Source organism: Homo sapiens, chromosome 3 (assembly GCF_000001405.40).
Source record: "Homo sapiens chromosome 3, GRCh38.p14 Primary Assembly".
In the NCBI taxonomy this organism is placed as follows: domain Eukaryota; kingdom Metazoa; phylum Chordata; class Mammalia; order Primates; family Hominidae; genus Homo; species Homo sapiens.
The window spans coordinates 124,685,447-124,710,342 of NC_000003.12; the positions used below are offsets into that span (position 1 = coordinate 124,685,447).

General features: G+C 42.1%; 1 protein-coding gene and 1 long non-coding RNA gene across 20 annotated transcripts in view; one reads left to right on the forward strand and one right to left on the reverse strand.

The window, feature by feature from the left end:
- The window catches only part of KALRN (kalirin RhoGEF kinase), a 692,957-nt gene that overhangs the window by 652,078 nt on the left and 15,983 nt on the right, over positions 1–24,896 (forward strand). For 18 of the 19 annotated variants that reach the window (XM_006713810.4, XM_017007429.2, XM_011513279.3 and 15 more), the window contains 6 exons: positions 8,358–8,385; positions 8,886–9,057; positions 10,688–10,809; positions 12,147–12,278; positions 14,423–14,587; positions 16,592–16,670. In XM_006713810.4, the coding sequence (XP_006713873.1) occupies positions 8,358–8,385; positions 8,886–9,057; positions 10,688–10,809; positions 12,147–12,278; positions 14,423–14,587; positions 16,592–16,670 (698 nt within the window). Of the gene's footprint in view, positions 1–8,357; positions 8,386–8,885; positions 9,058–10,687; positions 10,810–12,146; positions 12,279–14,422; positions 14,588–16,591; positions 16,671–24,896 lie in introns of those variants that run through there. The other variant, XM_011513283.3, reaches the window with a different exon arrangement.
- On the reverse strand, positions 12,505–15,577 carry LOC124906276 (uncharacterized). Its single transcript, XR_007096039.1, has 3 exons — positions 15,403–15,577; positions 14,470–14,707; positions 12,505–13,147 (listed from the first exon to the last, which is right to left on the reverse strand). It is a non-coding gene; the product is annotated as an uncharacterized LOC124906276 (long non-coding RNA).

Below are 24,896 nucleotides of genomic sequence, written 5' to 3' on the forward strand. Positions count from 1 at the left end.
GGTCAAGGTCATACAGCTAATAAAAAGAGCAAGTCTTGATGGTGGTGCTTTGAGAGACCAAACTTAGCATGTGCTGTAGAGGAAGTCTACTCGTATGGCTCAAGTACTTTCTTAACAAGGGTCAGGCTCAGGCCCTCTTTTGCTGCACATCTGTTTTAGGAGGAGAATTTCTTCAACAACTTTTCAAATCTCTTGACTATTGGGATAATTACTTGGCCTCACCCACGCCCTTTCTCAATGACTCAAGAGCCCAGCCAGAGCAACCAAGAAAGGAAGTCCAATTACATGAGTTGGAAATGTCTGAACTGGTTTCTCAGGTCAACATAGTCACTCAGCACGCCCTGTCATGCATGTTCCATCGCACCCTCACCCTAGACTGGGGGCCTAACCCGTTTCGTTTACGTTGTACACTAATGAGATTACAAGGTACCATTGACCCAGAAGTTCCTCTAAGAGCCTGCTATTGAAGAAGCAAAGACCATCACCCCCCAACCCCACCCCCATGCTGTCAAAGTTCACTCAGCGTGAGTTCCTAGTCAGTTCAATTTCACACAATTTGATTAACACAAGGCATTGCAGTGATTATTATGGAGGACTAACGAACAATGTAAGATTGGTTCCCATGCTTAAGGCTTAAGAAGCATAAGAAGGAGGCAGGTATAAATAAATGCCCATGTTACACAGCAAACTTTAAAACCTGCTCTAACAGTCATGGTGAGGGACTGATTAATCCTGCCTGGAGCCATTTATTCATTCTGTGGATATTTATGCACCCACTCAGGCACTGGGCTCACAATAATAGTAGCTACTACTTAGCAGTCTTTCCTGTGTAACTGGCTCTGTGCTGAGCTCCCAACAACATCATCACATAGGTACTATTCGCGTTATTCCCACTTTATAGATGAGAAAACTGGAGCACAGTGAGGTTAAGTGACTTTCCCAGGACTGTGTATTCTTAGGTAGCCTGTCTCCCAGGGAGCCTATGAGTGTGGTCATTGATTCACTGGGCAGCAGTGTGTGGGTTGGATGAACTAATAGGATGTGGGCAGTCTTAGAGAAGGCAGAGGGTGAGGAGAGAGCATGAACAAAAGCCCTGAGGTGGGAGGTGCCTGGCACATGCTGAGCAGGTATATGGTCTGAGTACCTGGGGTTAGTTATGTAGGAAGAGCTGTAGGAGATAAAGCCTGGCAGATGGGTTGAGACCAGACAGACAACAAAGGCATGGAAGGACCTGCTAGGAAGCCAGGACTTGATCCATGGACTCCAAGGAACAGCAGTAGGTTTTAAGCAGTCCATATGATTCGTCCTGTGCTTTAGGAAGGTAACCAGCATCTATGCAAACACTGGTGAGATTTTTTTTTTTTTTTTTTTTTTTTTTTTTTTTTTGAGACAGGGTCTTTCTCTGTCATCCAGGCTAGAGTGCAGTGGCATGATCTCGGCTCACTGCAGCACTAACCTCCCAGGCTCAAGTGACCCTCCCACCCTCAGCCTCCTGAATATCTGGGACTACAGGCACGTGCCACCATGGCCAGCTAATTTTTAAATTTTTTTAGAAGTGGGTTCTCCCGATGTTGTTCAGGCTGGTCTTGAATTCCTGGCCTCCAGTGATCCTCGTGCCTCAGCCTCCCAAAGTGCTGGGATTATAGGCATGAGCCATGGCACTGGGTCCTCAGAACAAATGTTAATCTGTTACATAGCTCCGAAGACTCTGGGAAGTTTAGGGGATTGGGGCATAATCAGGGCATAATCAGGGCCAAATCATTAAGGGATAAGACTCCAAAACACTCATACATAAAGGCATTATCCAAAGTCAAGGTCATGGCTAGGTTGGAAATGTGATTTATAAAGAAGAAGCTGTAACTCCACCACTGCATCCTCCTCAGCCCCCCACCTCCAGTCCCTTCCTAACTGACTCCTAGGCTGCCAGGAGCAGCTGGAGACCAGTGCATACACAGCAACGCACCCCCATTTTGGTCCTTTGCAACCAACTATCTTGTGAGATGGGTGATAGATGCTTTCATTATTCTGTTAAAAGCCATATTTTCATCCTTTTTATTTTTGACAGCACACTAAATGTTCTCTAACCAAAATATTGAGGGGTAAAGGGGGATATTTGGACTAGAAATATCCATAAAACAATCAATGTACTTGACACATGGACACATATAGAGACCTGTACCCCCAAATTAATGATTATACATTTTTTGGAAAACCATATGGAATTTTTTTACAAAAATTGACCATGTGTGCTACTTACAAAGCAAACCTCAACAAAAAACAAGGAATCAGTATCATACAGACCAAGTCCTCCAAGCACAATGCAATTAAGTTAGAAATCATCAACAAAAATATCCTTTTTAAAAATCTCACATCTTTGGAAATGTAAAAACATACTCATTACAACTGGGTAAAAGAAAAAAATCATAGTTGAAGAAAAACACTTAGAACTAAATGATAACGAAAATACTTGGGAGTAAGGAACTAGTTGAAAGAGACAAGTCTATCGCTGCTTGGGATTATGTTGCATTTACATTTTTTAAAATTACAGCTTGTCTTATGCTCATTTAGAAATGAGCAGAGGAGGCTGTGTGTGGTGGCTCATACCTGTAATCCCAGCACATTGGGCGGGCACAGGTGGGAGGATTACTTGAGGCCCAGAGTTCAAGACCAGCTGGGCAACATGGCGAGACCCCATCTCTATAAAGAATAGAAAAAATTAGTTGGATGTGGCTGTGTTCACCTGTAGTCGCAGCTCCTCAGGGAGTCTGGGGCAGGAGGATCACATGAGCCTAGGAACTTGCAGCTGCAGTGAGTGGTGATCATGCCACTGCACTCCAGCATGAGCAACAGCGTGAGACCCTGTCAAAAAAAAAAAAAAAAAAGAGCAGAGGTAGGAATATTTTCTAAAACTTTAGAAATTCGAGTCCAGTTTGGCCAGATTGAAAACACGAAGGGTTAAACCTTCAAACCCTACTATTATACCTAAATTCTTAAAAATTGTTTTTCTTATATCTTTATTTTATTGCTAGATCTCATCATCTAAAATTCCTTTCCTGCCTACTCTGAATACAGGTTCATATGAAACAAGTGTAAAAGGAATAGAAAAAGGAAAAATATAGAAATATATTCTGGGCAGCTGTCAGTTGGGTTTAGGGTATTTGGTTTATGTTTATTTGAGCGTTTTTATTCCTTCAGTGTTCTCAATACGTAGTTTTGAGCTCTGTTTTGTGACTGTGATAAGGAATTTGGGAAAAATGGGAGTGGAGGTCTTTTTCTTCTGGAGTCAGTTAACAACTCATTTTCTAGACAGAATTTCACCCTCACTCTTAAGTCTTAGAGTCAGTCAGACATTGGCTGACAAGGAAAATAGACGCCAAGATTTCCTCAAAGCTCAGCTTATGGTAGTCAGTGCTGGTTAATATTACCTGTAACTCTTTCCTCTTACCTGACTGCCCTGCCATTTTGAAGAAAAAACGATAAAATTATTGGATTTCTCTCCAGAAGGAAACTAAGTTGCTGATGGATCACATTGTGGTGGTTCTTGTTCTCGCCTGGGAGGAAGCGCTGCCACCTGCTGCCCTCTGCTGGTCAAATAAAACCAGCTTTAGGAACCTGTAGTTCTTTCCCACGGTGTCTACACCAGCCCTGTCCTCCCGGACTTGGCCCAGCATTCTCTTGTGCTGTTTCACAGAGAGAGAACATGTGCATTTTATGTGAACAATGTCATCTTTCCTCCACGACCACTATTTCGTCTATGTTTTCTTTTTTTTATTTTTTTGAAACAGGGTCTCACTCTGTTGCCCAGGCAACAGTTGCCCAGTACAGTGGCACTTTCTTGGCTTGCCACAGCCTCAACTTCCTGGACTCAGGCAATCCTCCCACCTCAGCTTCCCGAGTAGCTGTGCACCACCACACCTAGCTCATTTGTTTTTATTTTTTAGTAAAGATGAGGTCTCATTATGTTGCCCAGGCTGGTCTTGAACTAAGCTCAAGTGATCCTCCTGCCTCAGCCTCCCAAAGTACTGGGATTACAGGCGTGAGCAACCATACCCAGCCCACAACCACTATTTTGGATTCCAGCTCTCTCCTCCTTCCCATCTATCATTTTACATTGACTCCAACCTGTTTCTAAGGAAGGAAAACATTATATTTCAAGAAAAATGTGCAGCTTATATAAAGCCCTCAGGATCCTGCACACACCAGCAATGACCACTAGACAAGGTGGTCAGGAAGCCTAATTTCTAGTCTACTAATTGGGTGACTTCAGTTAATTTCATTCAACAAATATTTGATTTTTCTGCTATGTGCAAGACTCATAGCAAAAAAAAATATGACTGATGGTTCATAGCAAAAAAAATTTATGACTGATGGTGCATAAAACACGGGAAAGGGTTACTACCTTCAAAAGGTTCACAAGTCTGGTAGGGCAAATACAGTTCAGTAAGACGTTATGGTACTTAGCAGTTCATGGTCAGAGACTTAGAGGTACCTACAGCCCCTAGAAGAGTGCAGAGGAGGAAGATCACTATTGGCTACATCTCAGACATTGACTGACTGATTAGATTCCTGAGCAAGTTCATGGCAGGACATTTTCTCAGCTCTCCTCCCCAAAATTAGGATCCCACCACTTAAGCTTTTCATTGATTTGACAAATATCAACAGAGCACATATGTGCCAGGTATCATGCTAAGCTTGGAGGCAATACTAGCGAACAATATGGCCCATTAGAATTCAAAAAAAGAGAAAATAAAAAATTTAAGAATATAAATAAAAAGTAATAATAAATAAAACAATATGGTCCTTGTCCTCATGGGCCCTGCAGTCCATAGGGAGCCACAGACAAATATATCGGTAATTAGTCTACTGTGTGAGAAGGGTGTTCTCCTCCAGTTCGTACTCTGATTTGCTTCAAAGAAGAAAGAGAAAAAATGAGGGAGGAATCTTCTATGACCGTAGTCCAGAGTCAAAGTTAGAAAAAAAACATTAGTGTGGACCTTGCCCAGGCTCTTGGTCCTTGCTGGAGGATTTTAAATTAAAGGACTGAGTAGAGATAGGATAGATAGAGAGGTGGAGAGCAAAGATAAGCAGGTAGGCCTTTGATGTCAATGACAAAGTTTCACAATGCTTTTCCTAAGACCCTCCCACTTTGCTGAATGCTATGATGGAACGAGCACTGGAATAAAATTCAAGAGCTCTCGGAGCCAGTCCTCTGTCACTGTGATCTTAACACTTCACTTCCCTATCTCACCTAGGAAATGGGGATACATAACATTTGCTCTGCACTTCCTCCAGGGTTTTGGAGGAGCACATGAAGGAGTTTGTGAGTAGCTTATGCGAACTTCAAGTAATCCGCCCGCCTGGGCCTCCCAAAGTGCTGGGATTACAGGTGTGAGCCACCATGCCCAAACAAAAGCAAATATTCCTAATTTGAGTGTAGTCCTTAGCAGAGACACTGGAAAGAAAGATTGCGAATAAGACTTAATTACTGGTTCATAAGTTCTTGGAAGGTCTGAAATGAAGTCAAAGGTCAAATATGTATTCACCAACATTTATTAAATACCCTTTATGTGACAGACCCTTGGGCTAGGGCCCTGAGGTACAAAGGTGAGTGACAAATACTTCCTGTCTTTGAAGAGCTTATAGTCTAATAGGTTCGACCGTGCTGTATTTTTCCTTCAAAAATAATTATTAAGAAAGTGAGTCCGGGCGTGGTGGTTCATGCCTGTAATCTCAGCACTTTGGGAGGCCGAGGCAGGCGGATCACCTGAGGTCAGGAGTTCAAGACCAGCCTGACCAACGTGGCGAGACCCCGTCTCTACTAAAAATACAGAATTAGCTGGGCATGGTGGCGCATGCCTGTAATCCCAGCTACTCGGGAGGCTGAGGCAGGGGAATCACTTGAACCGGGGAGGCGGAATTTGCGGTGAGCTGAGATCACACCATTGTACTCCAGCCCGGGCAAGAAGAGTGAAACTCCGTCTCAAAATAAATAAATAAATTAAATAAAGAAAGCGAAACATGCTGATTGCAGAATATTTGGGAAGCCCACATAAGAAAAGAAAGGAAACAACAGTCACCCCAAATCAAGATGCTTTATAAATCCCAAGGGTAGAGCCTATGTCTTAGTATTTCTCTACCCACAAAACTGTACTTAGAGAGTATGACAAGGTCAGTTAATGTTTTTTGAATGGGGACAAAGCCACCCTTAAACCTACCACCCTGAGATAACCACTGTTAACATTTAGAAAATATTCTTAGCCTTCTTTTCTTTGACTGTCAAATGACTGACTGGGATGCCATTCTCCCTGCCTTATCCAAACCAGGAAGAGAAATGTTTGGCCTCTTTAGTGCCCCCCTACAGGTGATGCAGTGCTGCTCGTGGTTGATTTAATAGTTTGAGTGGAGCAACCCTTTACATCCTTCCCCATGCCATGCCTCGAAACCTTTTCACACAGAGAACTCTTTTAGGTGTGGGAAATGCAGTAGGTTCTACCAGATGTTCTCATCCACTCCCCCATCCCACCCCAGAAAAGCCTCCGGGGCAGGAAGTTGGTTTATCCAAGATCAGTTCCCTGGAATAGAGGGGGACTTTCATCAGGTTCATTAAACAAGGCTGCATGTTGATTCGCTTTAGAGAGTTAAAAAAAATCCCAATGCCCAGGCCCCACCTCACACCAATTAAAACAGAATCTCTAGGCATGAGGCCCAGGCATTAGCCTCTCGTGTTTTTAAGGCTGCCCAGGTCAGGCGTTGAGAACCACTGATTTAAAGATAGGCTAAGCAGAGGTGTAAGTGGTCTTTTGAGACTAGCAGAGGGCATTGCAATGGCCAGAGTTGGGGCACTCAGCCCAGAACTTGGCTTCACAAGGGTTTTCTGCAGCCCACTTTTTAGAAAACCTGGGTGGTATAAGCAGGCACTTGATTTGCAAAGGGGAACGCAAAGAAGGAAATAATGTCTTTCTTCCAAAGGGTTTATATGGATTCCTCTATAAGGGAAGAACACACAGAAACCATGCATGTTCACAAAGATATGCATACATACAGGGAAATAAGTGCAGAGGCCCCAGTTGGGCTATTTTGTAAGGCTTGTGAGTTTTCTGGCTTCATGATAAAGGAAAGAAGAATTTTGCCAAATAAGCTATTAAAGGTAAGCCACTTTAATAACAGTCTGCTTAGCAGAAGGAAGATGATTAAAATGAGATCATCTTTATTTAAATAGGTATTGAGTACCTGTTATTTGCCGGGCATTGTGCTAAGCACTTGATGTACAAGATTTTATTTAATCTTTGTGATAACACTTTACACTAGGTATTATTTATCCCCATATTATAGTGGAACATCAGTTATTACGTAATTAACATACAATCACATTAAACAAAACAGATGACCTCAGCCTATCTCCAAAGTCCGTGCTTTTTTAAAACAATGCCAGGCTGTACAATCTGGACATGGATGATTAGTGGTAATACAAAAGATGGGGGGAAAAGTGACCATCTCCTCAAGAAGATGTAGCTTTCCAGAATGGCTAGTTGGCTAAAATGTTTTCCCTACTGTGAAATCTCCAGGGTGTCCTGAGGCAGGCAGCATGGTATATACCAAGAGCCCTATCAGTTCCTCCCTTGAACCAGCCTTGTGACCAGAGTTAGTCGGCTTAGTCACTTAGTATTCATTTTCTCACCTATGAAGTGGAAAGGGTTGGAATGGTTGGGTCAGTGGCTTCAAGTTGCCCCATGCAGGCCTGGGCTATAGGAGATCATGCTTGAGAAAGAAGAGACAGACGACTTCTCTTATTCCCCTTCATCCAGAGAAGCTCTGTTGTTTAGCTGCTTGAAGAGTCGTTTCCCCTGCGTGGGGATGAGTAAAGGGTAAAGGGAGGACATTTGGAAGGAATCCACTGTATTAGTGAATTTCAATGACCCTTCCAGTTTGATAGGTCTCAGGTCCTCTATTTTTGAGTTTATGATGCTAGGAAGAATCAGTGCCACCACACTGCTTGTGTGCATAATGACCAAGAGAGTGGGTTTTCTGCCTGTGAAGGGAAGAAAAGCAACTGAGAAGAGGGAGGACAGAAAGACCTCTGCTAGCAGAGCTCCAAGTTACAATAAACCTGCCTGGGGCCGCACGCTGCCAGGCAGGAATGTGAACAACTGAATTAGACAGAGTAAACCAAGTGCCAATTGTTGCTAAAGAGAGGTTTTACTAATGTGACAGTAATACAGTCACAACACAGTGGGAAGTTGGGCTCCAGGCCTCATCTCCCTAAATTGTACTTTCTTTTTACTCAATACGGTGAAGTCCCTTGTTCTCTTTTAGTAGTTTAGGATTCAAGCAATTTTCTGTGTCTTTTTGTTTTTCAGATCTTAAATCCAAATTTCATCCAAGAAGGTGAGTTAAAAAGCATTAGAATTGGAAACATGGGGATTGGTTAAATAAATTATAGTTAATCCAGCACTAAAGCACTGGCTGTAAGCAATGGTGATATAGTTCTGTATCAATGGACAAGGAAAGAGGTTTATGATAAATTATTAGATGAAAAAGACTAAAGCTTGCGATATGTATAATGGGATCCAAGTTTTATAAGAAGTCTGTTTATATAAAGCCCAAAAGGGTATATACCAGAATGCCTACAGTAATTATCTCTGGATTATGACATTATGGAGCTTTTCTTTCTTTCTGTTTATATTTCCTATTTTTTTCTATAATAAACAGTTATCTCTTTTAAACACTTTTTAAAGAGACCCAGATGACTCACCAGTGTTATACTGAAGGTTATTTGAATCATTACATGACATGGGTGGGAAATGAGAGAGGTGTGTTAAAACAAAATGGCCATTTTATTCTAAATTTGCTCTGAATGATGTTAATGTATGTTGATTTGATCACAGTGGCCCCAGAATTCCTTGTGCCCTTGGTGGATGTGACCTGCTTGCTTGGGGACACAGTGATACTGCAGTGCAAAGTCTGTGGGCGGCCAAAGCCCACCATCACTTGGAAGGGTCCAGACCAGAACATCCTTGACACTGATAACAGCTCAGCCACATACACGGTCTCCTCTTGGTAAGCCGATTGCCCTAACATCAGCAACAGCAGCCCCTTGCTTGACACAGCACTGAGAGGCTGAATCTGGGGTGCAACTTCTGCTCTGGTGACTGGGCTCTGCAAGAGAATAGCTGCCCTGGAGCCTGTTCTTGGGCAAACACTTGGACTTGATTAGAGAGAGACTGAGGAGACTCAAGTGTTAGTCAGAGCCTCTGCCACTCACGCTGCAGCCTGATGGACACCTGCAGCAGCACCAGCACACATTTCCCACGGTGCTCAGCACCACGTAGACATACCTGGGATCAACAGAATGGTTTGTAAAGACTGTGCTCCAGACCCACATTAAACAAATAGGGAAAAACATAAACCTTTATATCTCAAGTCAAGCATGCACCATACTTATGAAGAGTTTTTACAGTCACTGCCTTACATTCACCCTGGTAGATGATCTTTCCCTACAGATCCCCAAGTGAATCTCTAAGTCAGAAGATTTAGACTTCTGATTTAAGTGGCGAAGGCTCCAGACCTGTAGTAAAAATGTAATCCTCACATCTGGACATCCTGACATTTTTTGTGCCTTTCAGGTTGCTGTGAAACAGTGAGATGTTTAATTCCTCACCTAAGAACAGTGTTATTAGAAAAAGAAACGACTAATTCTAAAATGTGCAATAGAAAATCAAGCCGCAAGGATGCTTCTACACACAGAGTCCATTTAACAAAACTTAGCTGACTGCCTCCCAATCATTGTGTCAGCATTTATTGTTACTAACTATGAATTGGACTGTGTACTGTTGCTTACAGTGGACAAGTGGTAGCAAGCCCTAGATGCTTGAGAAACATTAGTGGAAGAAGCACCTAGAATCAAGAAACTTTCATTCATTGACTTAATTTGTGTGTATGGGAAAAAGAAGAAGACCATCATTCCTTGGTATTCCCAGCAGAGACCATAAAGAGGCCAGGTCATAAAATATCAGTGGGTCCAAGAAGCCTAGTGTGAGACGCAGTGGTTGGTGAGGATCATGAAAAGCGCCAGGGGATATCATAACCCTAGGGAAGGGGCAGAGCTGACTGTGACTTCTGTATTTCAGAGCAGTTCTCCCCTGGGGATATTCCTGGACCTTGTATTGGGGTGAATGGGGAAGTTATCATTTAGGTGATGGAATTTACTCTTTCTTAGAAATTCACTTAATTATTTTGAGGATCCCACATCTAGAATTTGAAATACTTAAAATATTTTTATTCTTGAGTCTTTCCTTTTTTTTTTTCCATCATTCATTATCGATCTGTGAAACTGAAAATATTCTAGGACAAAGTTGCTAGTGGTAATAATACTAATAATACTATGAGCCAGAACTTGCATACAACTTTATATATTTCAAACAATGCTCTAATTCTTATGTCATTTTATTCCTTATTTTATCCCTCATGTACAACAAACTTGAGAGATGGGCATGGCCAGAAAATTTTTTTCCATATAAGGAACTGGGGATGTAGAGAAACAGGGTGGTAGGTAGCTCACAGACCAGGGACTGACCTCGGGCCTGAGGACTCTCAGCTCAGCACACCATGGGCCAACCCTATGGGATTTTACCCAGCAGTCAAGTGTCTCATTACTGGAGTCTGAAGAGCATCCTTTTGGTGTCCCTAGTGATTCTGGAGAAATCACCCTGAAGATCTGTAATCTGATGCCCCAAGACAGTGGGATTTATACCTGCATAGCAACAAATGACCACGGGACCACATCAACGTCTGCAACAGTCAAAGTGCAAGGTACAGCCTCTTTGTTAGTCAAACCTTTTGAAATATATATATATTTTTAGACAGGTTCTTGCTCTGCTGCCCAGGCATGATCTCTGTTCATGGCAGCCTTGACCTCCCAGGCTCAAGCACTCCAACCACCTCAGCCTCCCGATTAGCTGGACATGCACCACCATGCCTCGCTAATTTTTTTTGCATTTTTTGTAGAGATGGGATTTTGCTGTGTTTTCTACAATACTTTTTAAAACATTTATTTTTTAAATTTCAGTAAAACACACAATAAAATTTACCATCTTAACCATTTTTTAAAAAATTCAAATAGAGACAGGGTCTCGCTATGTTGCCCAGGCTGGTCTCAAACTCCAAGGCTAACGCAATCCTCCCGTCTTGGCCTCCCAAAGTGCTGGGATTGCAGGCATGAGCCACTGTGCCCATCCCATCTGAACCATCTTAAATGTACAGCTTAAAAATAAATAAATAAGTGTACAGTTCAGTGGCATTAAGTACATCCACATTTTTGGGTTACCATCACCACCATCCATCCACAGAACTTTTTCATCTTCCCATCTTTCTGAAACTGCATCTGTACCTGTTGAACAATGACTCCCCATTCCCTCCTCCCCAGTGCTTCTTGGCCACCACTGCTCTACTTTCTGTCTCTATCAATTTGTGTTACTCAAACTTTATTTTTTCTTGAGACAGGGTCTTGCTCTGTCGCTCAGGCTGGAGTGCAGTAGCATGACACCACTCACTGCAGCCTCAACCTCCCAGGCTCAAGCTATCCTCCCACCTCAGCCTTCCAACTAGCTAGGACTATAGGCATGTGCCACCATGCCCAGCTCATTTTTTAAACTTTTTGTAGTGATGGAGCCTCGAACTCCTGGGCTCAAGTGATCCTCCTGCCTTGGCATCCCAAAGTGCTAGGATTATAGGCGTCAGCCAGCACACCTGGCACTACGTTTTAAGTGAACATTATAAGGGCTCCCTGCGACCTGGGGGAGAAAATGTCCATTGTAAAAATTCAAAAATAAAGTTCTGGCAAATGAGACGAGAACGAATCTTTGCTAAGAGCTGTCTGTGGCCTACCATAAACCTACCATCAACATGTTAGTTCCCTGGCCAAGCTTTATCTTCAGGGTGCAGTATTTAGCCCAAGGAAGAACTTCAGACAGCATGGTGTGTCTCCCACATCTGCCTTGGGCCTGGAGAAAGGTATGCCACTTGGTGGAGAAGGTCACAGGAAAAAATTGTGACATCGGTTAGGTAATGTTTCCTAGATGACTTATACCTTGGTGTAAAATGCCAAGTTCTGCAGAAATAGCACCTGATCCTGATTTCTGTCTCCATAGGTGTTCCAGCAGCCCCTAACCGCCCCATTGCCCAGGAGAGAAGCTGCACCTCCGTGATTCTCCGCTGGCTGCCCCCCTCCAGCACAGGAAACTGCACTATTTCTGGTTACACTGTGGAGTACAGAGAGGAAGGTGCACTATCTCCTGCTCTTCTTTTTCTTTTCTCTTCTTTTAAAACATTTATTTTTAAAATTGCAGTAAAACACACATAATAAAATTTACCATGCTAACCATTTTTTCAAAAATTTGAATAGAGACAGGCTATTGCTATATTGCCCAGGCTGGTCTCAAACGCCAGGGCTAACGTGATCCTCCCACCTTGGCCTCCCAAAGTGCTGGGATTACAGGCATGAGCCACTTTTATTTTCCTTTATTTTTATTGTTTATTTTTTTTGAGACAGGGTTTGGCTCCATCAACCCAGGCTGGAGTGCAGTGGTGCAATGTGGGCTCACTGCAGCCTCCACCTCCTGGGCTCAAGCCAACCTCCCACCTCAGCCTCCTGAGTAGCTGGGACTAAAGCGCACACCACCACACCCGGCTAATTTTTGTATTTTTAGTAGAGACAGGGTCTCACTATGCTGCCCAGGCTGCTGGCTGCTGTGAAACTCCTGAGCGCAAACAGTCCACTTGCCTCAGCCTCCGGAAGTGCTGGGATTACAGGCGTAAGCCACCGCGCCCGGCCTCCTGCTCTTGTTTTTCTGTCTTCTCTTCGTCTCTAGGAGGTCCTTCAGAATTGTGAACATATTAGCCTCCTCATCTTTCAGAAGTTGTTCCTTGTTGTGTCTTCCAACTCAGCACAGAGGCCTCAGTGCCAGATTACAGCTGCCTTCTGATCCCAGATGTCGAGCAGCTGTTTTGGCTAAGATGATCCAAACCTCCCTGACATATTTATGACCCAGGGCAGGTTTCAAGGTGTCTTCATGCATGTATCCCTACTTAACATGCTCGATCACCCAGACAGGGATGATCAATCCCATTTTACAGAGTGGGAGGCTGAGGCCTAAAGAAAGTTAAGAAACACAAGATTATAGTTAGTGAGAGGCAGAGCTAGCACTAGAACCCAGATGTCTACTTGGATAATTTGTGATCTTTCTCCCAGAGAAATAACTAGTGTAGTACGGGTGGAGTTCTACACCCCCTATCCCCAGATAAAATTAAGAGAATATATATTTTTTAATTGTGCCGTTTAAAATTGTGCAATTTAAACTGTTAAAATTTGTTACATTTACATGCTAAAAGTGAATATATTTCTTCAGCAGTTAGAAACAACTGAGACTTCCATCTAGTTAGCAAGAATTAGTTAAAATAAGAAGCTGCCAGATAGCTCTAATTGTTAATAACACAACTACAGTTATTCACAGTAATAACACAATTACTCTGAATAACATTAGGAATTACACAATTGAACTGAAAGCAAGTGCTTGCTACCCTATCCCCCGAACCAAAACCATTTGTTTTATTCTACTTTCCATTATGCTTATTATTTTAACTCTTCTTTCTCCTTCTTTCTTATTAAACAGGCCCTATGCAGTTATAAACCCATTTATTTCTGCATCCTTCTTAAGCTGTTCACTCTTGTGTCTCCCAGGTTAGCACAAAAGTATTAATAGTGAGCTGGGAGACACATTTTACAAAGTTCATGTTTACCTTAGCATTATCCAGTTCATAGTTCAGCTCATTAACTAAGTTCTCTTGGGCAAATTGTTCAATATTTCTGAGGCTCAGTTTCTACATCTGTAAAGTAAGATTAGCGGTCTCTACCTCACTGGGTTTCTGTGGATTTAAGACAGAATTAACTTTCTGTCTTAAATCTCATTTAACTATGAGAGAATTATGTTGAAAACACCTTCCACAGTATTTTACGTGTACGTAGTGTTCAATACATGTTACTTTCCATTTTGTTTCCATTTCCAAATGCATATTTTCTCTCATGTTATTAACTAAAAATATACTCTTCTGGCCTTATTAAAAGTTTGCCATGTGTCCCCTGTAAATTCTGTATTATCTATGTCTTTTTACTCTGGCACTTGCACATTTGAAAGTGAACAGAATCTATAGGCCAGCTTCTTCCACGCCTCTCACCATTTATTCCGTCATTTAGGAAACCGAATCCAAACTACCATAGTTAGCCTACAGGCTTTCAGAGCCTGACACGGTAACCACAAGCATCCCTTGAATTGAATGTGTCTATTTTCCTGTCTTTGTTTGCTGAAGGTCTTTGAAACAATATCCCTTTGGCTTTTCTCTTTCCCTCTCCTGGGAAACTGTACACTAGGTTCTCAGATCTGGCAGCAGTCAGTGGCTTCGACCTTGGACACTTACCTCGTCATCGAAGACCTTAGTCCCGGGTGTCCTTATCAGTTCAGAGTCAGTGCCAGTAACCCCTGGGGAATCAGCCTTCCCAGCGAGCCCTCGGAGTTTGTGCGACTTCCAGAATATGGTGAGTCCCAGCCCAGCCCTGGCCCCCCAGGCAGTGGGATTGAGGCACCTGGCTGCCTGTCACAGACTCCTGGGCACGTTGACATGTCAGGCCACCATGCAAGAGGCACCTTTTAGAGGACTAAGAAGAATGTTTCTGTAAAGTATAGCTCCAAGCATCTTGGGCAAATGTTAGGTCTGCACCCATGCCTACCCCTGCACCTGCCAAGTTCCCTGGGGAATGAGTATGTCCCCAGGAATGGAGAGTTACAGGCAGGAGTCATGAGTCCTGTGGATGTTCTCTGCCCCTCTTCTGAGACAGTAATACAAAGCCTCCTCCCACCCGGGCACCCCTGCCAGCCGTAAATGTACCTCCCTGCATGAGGGACTCACCCACTTCAAATGGGGGAAAGAAAAGCAACCTGGCTGAAGGACTTCATTACAACATGAGGATTTCATAGTTTCCTCACCCCCAATCATCCCAGAATTTCTTTTTTCAACATGGGTATAATTTTATGTAGATTTGTTGAAAAAGTAACTAAGATACACATATAGCTAGCTAAATATGAGTATTTTACAAATAAGGTTCTTATTTTGCCCAAAACATCTTCGTCCCAGGGACATTTTGAAAGAGAAAACTTGGCTATCCTAAAGAAATCTCCAAATGGTGAGATTTTGGGCAGTGCAAGGGAGTGGTCTGTGTGTACTGGGGAGAGCAGTGGGTGGGGGGCAGCTGACTGTACTCGAAAGACCATGGACCTGTGTGCCTTAGGGTTAAGGGAATTCTGGAGTCTCCAGAGGGGTTTGGGAAACCCTCTAAATCACCTCTGCCCCCACCTGAATCCAGAAATGCTCTCCAGTTCCAGTCCCACAGTCAGCCCGGTTTTCTCCCAGTGACTTTGACTTTGTTCCCACGAGCCTGTGACTCTTGCAGAAACCTACGCCCTGGGTCTCTGTTTCCTCAGAATTCAAGATGGATAAGCCGCCTTCAGTCTCAGCCAGGCTGTGCTCTGGGAAACCTGAGGGAACTGGCTCCAGGGTCAGCTGAGCCAAGCTGCTCATGTGACCCCTCTCCTCCCAGGCTGCTCACTTGCTCCAGCCCCGGATGATGCTGTGTGTTTTGCTATTTGTGAACCTTGGTCCCCAACAGATGACACAAATGCGTATTGCTGTGCTTGCTCTGTGTGCGTGTGTGTGTGCACGCGTGCGTGAATCATTGCCAAGGAATTGACACATCACACAAGGTAATACTGCCAAAGAATCTACTCAGGCATATATTGTGGGTTAAGCTAAATCCTTCAGTATACCAGATAAGCTCATTAATGCCTGAGAAGAGCGGGATAAGAAGATAATTTTTTCTTTTTCTTTCTTTCTTTCTTTTTTTTTTTTTTTTGGAGACAGGGTCTCGCTCTGTCTCCCAGGCTGGAGTGCAGTGGCGCGATCATAGCTCATTGCAGCCTCGACCTCCTGAGCTCAAGTGATCCTCCAACCTCAGCCTCCTGAGTAGCTGGGACTACAAGTGTACACCACCATACCTGGCTAGTTTTTGATTTTTTTGTAGAGACAGGGTCTTGCTATGTGGCTCAGGTTAGAAAGAGAAATTTCTAAAATGTCTTTTCCTTTTCTCCTTTCTTGACCTTGTAACTTTTCCCTTCTCTCTCTGCATCCTCCTTACACCCCTGATTTTCACGAGCTTTTCTAGGTCTTCAAAGTGTTCTTTTATCCCTTTTAAATTTTTCTCCTAAATTTATCTTATAAAATATCCATAAGTCATATTTCTGATTGTACTGCGTTTTCCCTTTGTTTAAGTAGATGGGAGAGAGAAGCTGACTCTGTCATGTCAGTTTCCCCTTGGATGATTTTTTAAAATAACATTCCAGAGAATCATGGCATTTTCCCACTGAGTCAGACTCCATATTTGGTCATGAGAATTGCTTTGGGGTTACTCTGGAGCTTTTCTGTTAATTTTTTCTTTATTCTTATATGACATCCTCGATATTGTAAATGGATTCTCTTTCTTCCGAAGATGCTGCTGCTGATGGTGCCACCATTTCTTGGAAGGAAAATTTTGACTCAGCTTACACTGAGCTGAATGAAATTGGAAGGTAATGACACAGTTTTATATTCCTTCATTCATGAACACCTAGCAACATCACATCAGAACAGTAACTTTTTGTTGTTGTCATTGTTTATTTCTTTTACAAATGCAATTCTCTCCATAGCAAGAAAAAAACTAAAATATTCGTTTGTATTTTCTACTGTTCTTTTTCTAACTTCTTAAGTTGGATGCTTCATTCATCAGTTGTCAACCTTTCTTCTTTTCTAATATAAGAAATTAAGGCCCAAAATTTTCTTCAAAGTACAATTTTAGCTATAGGTCCTGAGTTTTGATATGCAGTATTTTCCTTATAAGTTATATGTAGTTGTCTTCAACTGTGAATTTTTCTTTGACCTGGTTATAATGGAAACATGTTTTAATATATATGAGATTTTTAAAGGTATGAGTTTTTTTAAAGTATCTTTTTATTACTGATTTCTAACTTAATTTGCATTGTGGTCAGAAAATCTATATGGTACTGATTCCTTGGTTTTTGTTTGGACTTGCTTTATGAGTAGTACATGGTTACTTTTTGTAAAAATTTCCACATGTTCCTGGGAAGACTGTGCAATCACTAATTGTTGGATATACATCTCTATATTGCCCGTGTACCAAGCACATTAATTATTTTATGAGTATTTCTAATCCCAATCCTCCCCCTGCCACACACATACACTCCATACCTTTCTCTTTCTCTCTCTTTCTCACTTGCAGTATTTTGGTTAGAGAACATTTAGTGTGTCCTCAAAAATAAAACAGATAAAAATATGACTTTTAACAGAAAAATTAAAAATCTATCACCTGGCCCACAAAATAGTCTATGGGAAAGAAACAAAAGGCATTCATCCCTATGCATGCTTTGGTCTCCAGGTGGTCTGTGTGAGGGAATGTAGGTAGATCTTACAGGTTGCCCACCCGTAAGATCCTTCCCCCCGGATGTATAAATAAAAGAATACCCACTAACGATGGGCCATTGACATCATTTCTAGCTCTGATTAGCATTTCTCAGTGAAGCATAACATTTTTTAACTGACGTGGTTGTGACCGACGTTGTAGAGGAAACCAAAATGGTCCTTCTGCCTGTGTCTTAGGCAGGAGTCACAATATCATTCACTGCCTTCCGTTACAGCACCTTTCATCAAAAACAAACTCTACCTCTCCTTTCCTGTCTTCTTTGTGTAGCCAAACAGAAGAAAAAAAGCCAAGGAAATTTATGTAATGGTGATGATGATAATGATGATCTCAGTATCTATAGTATTCTAGATACTAAGCAGATACTATATACAAATGTTATTTTTGTTTGTTTGAGCTCTACTGCTTAATACACAAACATTATTTAATTTAATCCATACAACACTATGAGATACTGTTTGAGCAGATTTAAAAAAAAAAGATAGAGATCGGTTATTGCTATGTTGCCCAGGCTGGTCTTGAACTCCTGGGCTCAAGCAATCCTCCTACCTCAGCCTCCCAAAGTGCTGAGATTACAGGCCTGAGCCATTGCACCAGGCTGAGTATATTGTCTTTTTGTCTTCTTTTTTCTCTTTTTGAGACAGGGTCTGTCTCTGTCACCAGGGCTGGAATGCAGTGGCAGTATCATAGCTCACTGCACCCTCAATCTCCTAAGAAGCTATCCTCCCACGCTTGCGGGGAGGATGATCAGTCTTCCAAGTAGCTGGGACTACAGGTGCACACCACCATACCTGGCAAACTTTTAAAAGAATCTTTTGTTGTTGTTTTGTAGAGATGGAGTTCTCACTATGTTGCCCAGGCTGGTCTCAAATTCCTGGGCTCAAGCAATCCTCCTGCCTCAGTCTCCCAAAGTGTGGGATTACAGGTGTGAGCCACCCATCTCACCCAGCCTGAAGTATATTTTCAGTAAAGGAAACTCAGGGTCAGGGAGGTTAAGTAACTTTCTTAAAGCCCCACAACTAGGAGGTGTGGAGCCAGGATTCAAATTCTGGGCTACCCAACTCCAAGCCTGGTCTTGTTTTACTAGCATATATTGTTTCTCATCATATCGATTATTGTCCAAAATAAGCTCTAGTAACTGAAATCTAGTTTGCTTTATTATATTGAAATTTGTGAAGCTAAACATGACCCCCAATAATGGGCCGATTAAATCCCCAGCTAGTTCTAAATGAAATTGGTTTCATCACCCGGATGCCCCAGTTAATTCCTCCTGGAGGCATGTGTTTGCTATTATTAGCCATAGGTTAAGTCATGTTTTAGCTAAAACAGATGGCTGATTTGATATTTCTCAAAGGGAAGATCAATTTTCTTATCTGTTCAAAAGTAATCGATGTTTTTGTTTTAAAGTCTCTAACAGCCTGAAGCTTGTCCTCTCTCCTAAGAATAGTCCTTATATTTTCAGAAGATCTTTTCAAAATGTTGTACATTAACAGAATGGAAATAATACATGGAAATTCTTTTTTTTTCTTTTTTCTTTTTTCTTTGAGACAGGGACTCACTATGTTGCCCAGGCTTGAGTGCAGTGGCATGATCACTGCTCACTGCAGTTTCGACCTTCCAGGCTCAAGTGATCCTCCCACCTCAACCTCCCAAGTAGCTGGGACTACAGGCGTGAGCCATCACAGCCAGCTAATTTTTGCATTTTTTTTGTAGATACGGTATTTCACCATGTTGCCCAGGGTAATCTCAAACTCCTGAGCTCAAGCAATCCACCCACCTTGGCCTCCCAAAGTACTGGGATTACAGGCGTGAGCCACCCCACCAGGCCCAAATAATACATGGAGATGTTAATGTGAGACACAGGAAAGATATCTGTGCCAGGGCTGTAGAAGTCAATCGACTTGCTTCATCACACCTAAATCTGGAATTCTGGGCCTTTGTGACTATTCTGTTAAAAGGAGTGCTCTGGTAATTAAATACTATAAAAAGCCACAGTGCAGGAAGATTCTCTCCTACAGCACATCCATAGAAGGAAAGGGCACTTGAGTATGGCGTGTTTAACCAGGAATGAACTATACAGGCAACAATGCAGTATAGAGAAGGCAGGGGATTGTCACTGGAAATGCTGACCCATTGCCTATACCCATTGCTATATAAAAAGGTAGCAGTACCAGGCCTCCAGGTCAGATGGCAGGTTGAACACAGGCATCTATCTTCACTTCTTCCTAAACTTCATTGAAACTATAATGCAGGGTTTATTTTATTTTATTTTATTTTTTTAAGTAGGCATATAAGAATGAGGACATTGGAAGAAGAGACAAAAATAAAGTATTATTTTCACAGAAATACAGATGTTTTTCACAGAAATTCATGTTTTTCTTCTACAGAAAAACAGATGAAAGAATGATAAATGACCTTCAAGACCTGAGTGAGTCAGTCAGTCATGGGGTCAAATGAGGGCCAGTATAATTTTTGCAGCAGAATTACCCAAAAGCTCAGGTATTAGGAGCATCACGTACCTCTGGAAGTAGGTAAAAGGAGGATGCTAAAATTGAAAGGATTGGCTGAAATTTTTTGAGAAGTTGAGTCTCAGAAGGGAGTGAAAACTGATGTCTGTGTTCAGCCTGCCATCCTTACCTGGAGGCCTGGTCCTGCTACAATTTAGATTCTATACAGGCAACCAGTCAGCATTCCCAAGGGATAAGCTGGCTCCAAATCTGCTCCCCAGCTTCAAGTATCTGTGTGATTGTCTTTCTTCATCCAAGAAAAGACTGGTCCCTCCCTTCCTTCCTTCCTTCCTCCCTTCCTTCCTTCCTTCCTTCCTTCCTTCCCTCCCTCCCTTCCTTCCTCCCTCTTTCTCTCTCTCTCTTTCTTATTTCTTTGTTTCTTTTGTTGTCGTTGTTGTTTTAGGACAGGGTCTCACTCTGTCACCTAGGCTGGACTGCAGTGGCTCAATCATGGTTCACTGCATCCTTGACCTCCTGGGCTCAAGTGATCCTCTTAGCCTCCCAAGTAGCTGGGACTACAGACACACACCATTATGCCCAGCTAACTTTTTAATTTTTCATAGAGACAAGGTCTCCCTATGTTGCCCAGGTTGGTCTCGAATTCCCAGTTTCAAGCAGTCCTCCCGCCTTGGCCTCCCAAAGTGCTGGGATTGCAGGCATAATCCACCGTGCCTGGCCTGGAGTTTTATTTTCTGGAAAGGGAAAAATGGAGCATCCCTGCCCTTGGGGACACCAGGCACAGTTGAAGGCAGTGGAGCCATTCTGCAAACAGGGACAATATGAGAATGTATGCATGCTGGGTACTCAGAACCCCAGCTCTCTTATCCACTGGACCTCCAGAGGTTGACAGCCAGGGTTTCACCCTCTAGGCAGAAAGCAGAGGGCTCTTTCTCTGGGAACTCTAACCAGCCCAAAAGGAAAGACTTAAAGATACTGATTGTGGAGCTTTCCCAACTGAGCAGTCTTGTCAAATCACTCTGTAGTAAAGTAAAAGGTGACAGGCTTCACCCACAAGCTCAGAGCTTCTAAACATCTTTTTTCTTTTTCTTTTTTTTTTTTGAGACAGAGTCTCGCTCTGTCTCCCAGGCTGGAGTGCAGTGATGCAGTCTTGGCTCACTGCAACATCTACCTCCCAGGTTCAAGCGATTCTCCTGCCTCAGCCTCCCGAGCAGCTGGAATTACAGGTGCCTGCCACCATGCCCGGCTAATTTTTGTATTTTTAGTAAAGATGGGGTTTCTCCATGTTGGCCAGGCTGATCTCAAACTCTTGACCTCAGGTGATCCGCCTGCCTCAGCCTCCCAAAGTGCTGGGATTACAGGTGTGAGCCACCGTGCCCTGCCACCAAACACGTTTTTATTCCTGAACTTTCAAAATGAGCCAACTCCCAATGCCACCCAAGATAGAGTAAGCCCACTGTAGCCTTTATCTCCCACTGATTACAACCAGAATCCCTGGACAAGATACAAAAAGCAATACCTGGGTATCAAATTAAATAATAGAGATGAGAGTGGAAAGACAAAAGACTTGGGCTGGGTGTGGTGGCTCACGCCTGTAATCCCAGCACTTTGGGAGGCTGAGGCAGGAGGATCACTTGAGCCCAGGAGTCCAAGACCAGCCTGGGCAACATGGCGAGACTTCATCTCTACAAAAAATAAAAGAAAAAACTAGCTAGGCATGGTGGTGCACACCTGTAGTCCCAGCTACTTGGGAAGCTGAGGTGGGAGGATTGCTTGAGCCTGGGAGGTCGAGATCGCACCACTGCATTCCAGCCTGGGCAACAGAGCAAGAGCCTGTCTCAAAAAAATAAAAGGAAAGAAAGTAAAGTAAAAACTTGAAGAATGGCTAATGACAAGGAGAATAGCAGTTTCCTTCCTTCCTTCCTTCCTTCCTTCCTTCCTTCCTTCCTTCCTTCCTTCCCTCCTTCCTTCCTTCCCTCCTTCCTTCCCTTCTTCCTTCCTACCTTTTTTCTTCTTTCCTCTTTTCTCCTTTATCTCCCCAGCTTTGATACAAGTGTGGGCCAAATCAAAGAACTATGTAGCATGCACAAACAGCAAAAACTCCAAGAAAACCCCACATTTCTGGCCAAAGGACAAAGAAAAGGGAACCCTTTGAGCTGGAGAGAACAGAATAATTCATGCTTAATTGTTTTTTTGTGTCTCCTTACTGTCACTGCTTCACCCCGAGGGCAGTCATGTGAAACTGCATGACAATGCAGGAAGCTAAACCTCTGAGGGAATCCCATCTTTCTGGCCAGACAACTTCAAAAAGGGGCACTTGGGAGATAAAGAATGCAGGGGAAATCTCAGGAGAAAGCAAAAGAAGAAGATCTCCTAATTCTATATGAAATGACTCAAATCCTGGGCCACCTTCCAGCTGTGCTTGTATGAGGCACATCCAAAGAAATATAGCAAGGCTCTGAGAACTGGACTATGATGTAAACCACTGCTCAGTGACTGTTTAGTCTCAGACTAATCTTTGTGTGGTGCTCACAAGGGGCAGACCTAAAAGCATAGTAAACACTGAAAACTGAACTGACAATAGAACCACCTCCCACAGAAGGTGAGACAGAACTTGCAGTCTGAACCTAACCAAGTTGATTGCTGACCAAAACATACAAATAAACCAAAAATCAAACTCCTCCAGAGGATTTTAACAGAATCAGTCTCACAACATAACATTTGAAATGTTTGGGATACAATCTAAATTTGTTCAACATTACAAAAAGCAGAAAAAACTTAAAAAATTCTCGGGAAGAAAACAATCAACAGATGCCAGCTCTGACATGATCCAAATATTGGAACTATCACACAAAGACTTTAAAGTAGCAATTACAACCATCCTCTGTAAGGTAAAGGTGAATACTCTTGAAATGAATGGAAAGATAGAAGTTATTGACAGAGAAATAGAAATGATTTTTAAATTTAAATTGCATAACAAAAAATACAATATCTAAAATTTTTAAATTTACAGCATGGATTCAATAGCAGAACAAAGCTGATGGAGGAGTTGGTGAAATTGAAGAGGAAGAAATATAAATTATCTGACATGAAGAATAGAGAGAAAAAATGTTTTACAAATATTAGACGTAACCCCAGGGACCTATGGAAAAATATCAAAAGGTCTGACATTCATGTCATTAGAACTCCTAAGGGAAAGAAAAAAGTGATTGGTGCAGAAAAAATTTTTGAAGAAATAACAACTGGAAATGTCCCAAATTTGGTAAAAGACACAAATTTTTAAAGAAGCTTGGTGACCTAAATAAAAAACAAACAAAAACCATGCCCAGAACACATTGTAATCAAACTGCTGAAAACAAATATATGAAAAAAAATCTTGAAAGAAACAAGAGAAAAAAACAACATATTACATTTAGGTAGAACAGTGACTCGAATGACAGCAGATTTCTCATCAGAATTCATGGAGGCAAGAAGACAGCAGAACCAACATCTTTAAAATGCTTAAAGGAAAGAGCTGGCCACCAAGAATTCTAAATCTAGCAAAAATATCCTCCAGGTGAAATGAATTGACTACTAAGAATTTCTGAACAGTTGAGGAAAATCTTTAAAATGAAAGACAGAAATCAAAACAAAAGTAGAAGAAAGGAAACAAACTATATAGCAAAAGACTTCCAAAAACTCTCATTAGTATCCTTAGATAAAAGATAATATTGAAATTACAAAACAAGAGCATAATCCTGCAATAAAAAAGAAACAAAAAATGAAAACAGAACCTTTTTTAAAATTTTATTTTTATTTATTTATTTATTTAGACAGAGTCTTGCTCTTTCACCCAGGCTGGAGTGCAGTGGCACAATCTTGGCTCACTGCAACCTCTGCCTCCCAAGTTCAAGTGATTTTTGTGCCTCAGTCTCCTGAGTAGCTGGGATTACAGGCACGCACAACCATGCCTGGCTAATTTTTGTATATTTAGTAGAAACAGGGTTTCACCATGTTGTCCAGGCTGGTCTTGAACTCTTGTCCTCAAGTGATGCACCCACCTTGGTCTCCCAAGGTGTTGGGATTACAGGCGTGAGCCACTGCACCTGACCTGAAAACCTTAATAGAAGTGTGGGAAGACAGAGTTGAGGAAATTTCCCAGAAATCTGAGCAACCGGAAAATAAATGGGAAATAGAATAGGAAAAGAAGAATTAGAGGACTAGACTAGAAGTTCCAATTTGAAAAACAGAAATTCCAGAAAGAGAGAATAGAACAAATAAAACAGAGAAGAAGGAATTGTTTCTAAAAAATAAGATATTCCCAGAATGAAAAGACATGAGTTTACTAATTGAGAGAGCACCCGAGTGCCCAACCTAATGGATGAAAATAGATCATACTGCAGCACATAACTGTGAAATTTCTCAACACCCAGGAAAAGAGAAGAACCTACAAATTCTCCATGAGGAAAAGGGGTCATGAAGGATTAGGAATCATAATGCTTTAGACATTAGCAGTCAACATTACCAGCAACAATAGAAGTTGGAAGGCAACAGAATAATTCCTTCAAAATTGTGAATGAAAAGTTTTCCCAACTGGATTATACTCAGCTAAACTCACAATCAAGTATAAAAGTAGAATAAGTACAAATTTTCAGATATGCAAGTCTGAAACAATTTATTTCCCATGCACTCTTTGTCAGAAATGATTGAAGATTGCATTCTATCACAAAAAGGAAAAGTATTCATAGTTTACTAGAGGCTCAACTGTGAATAGCATGGACATAGTGTAGTAATGTAGATACTGAATATTGATTATAATTCTATTGGGAAGACAGTGGTTGGGGATAGTAGTTATGTGGCAGGGACAGAGGGAGGAA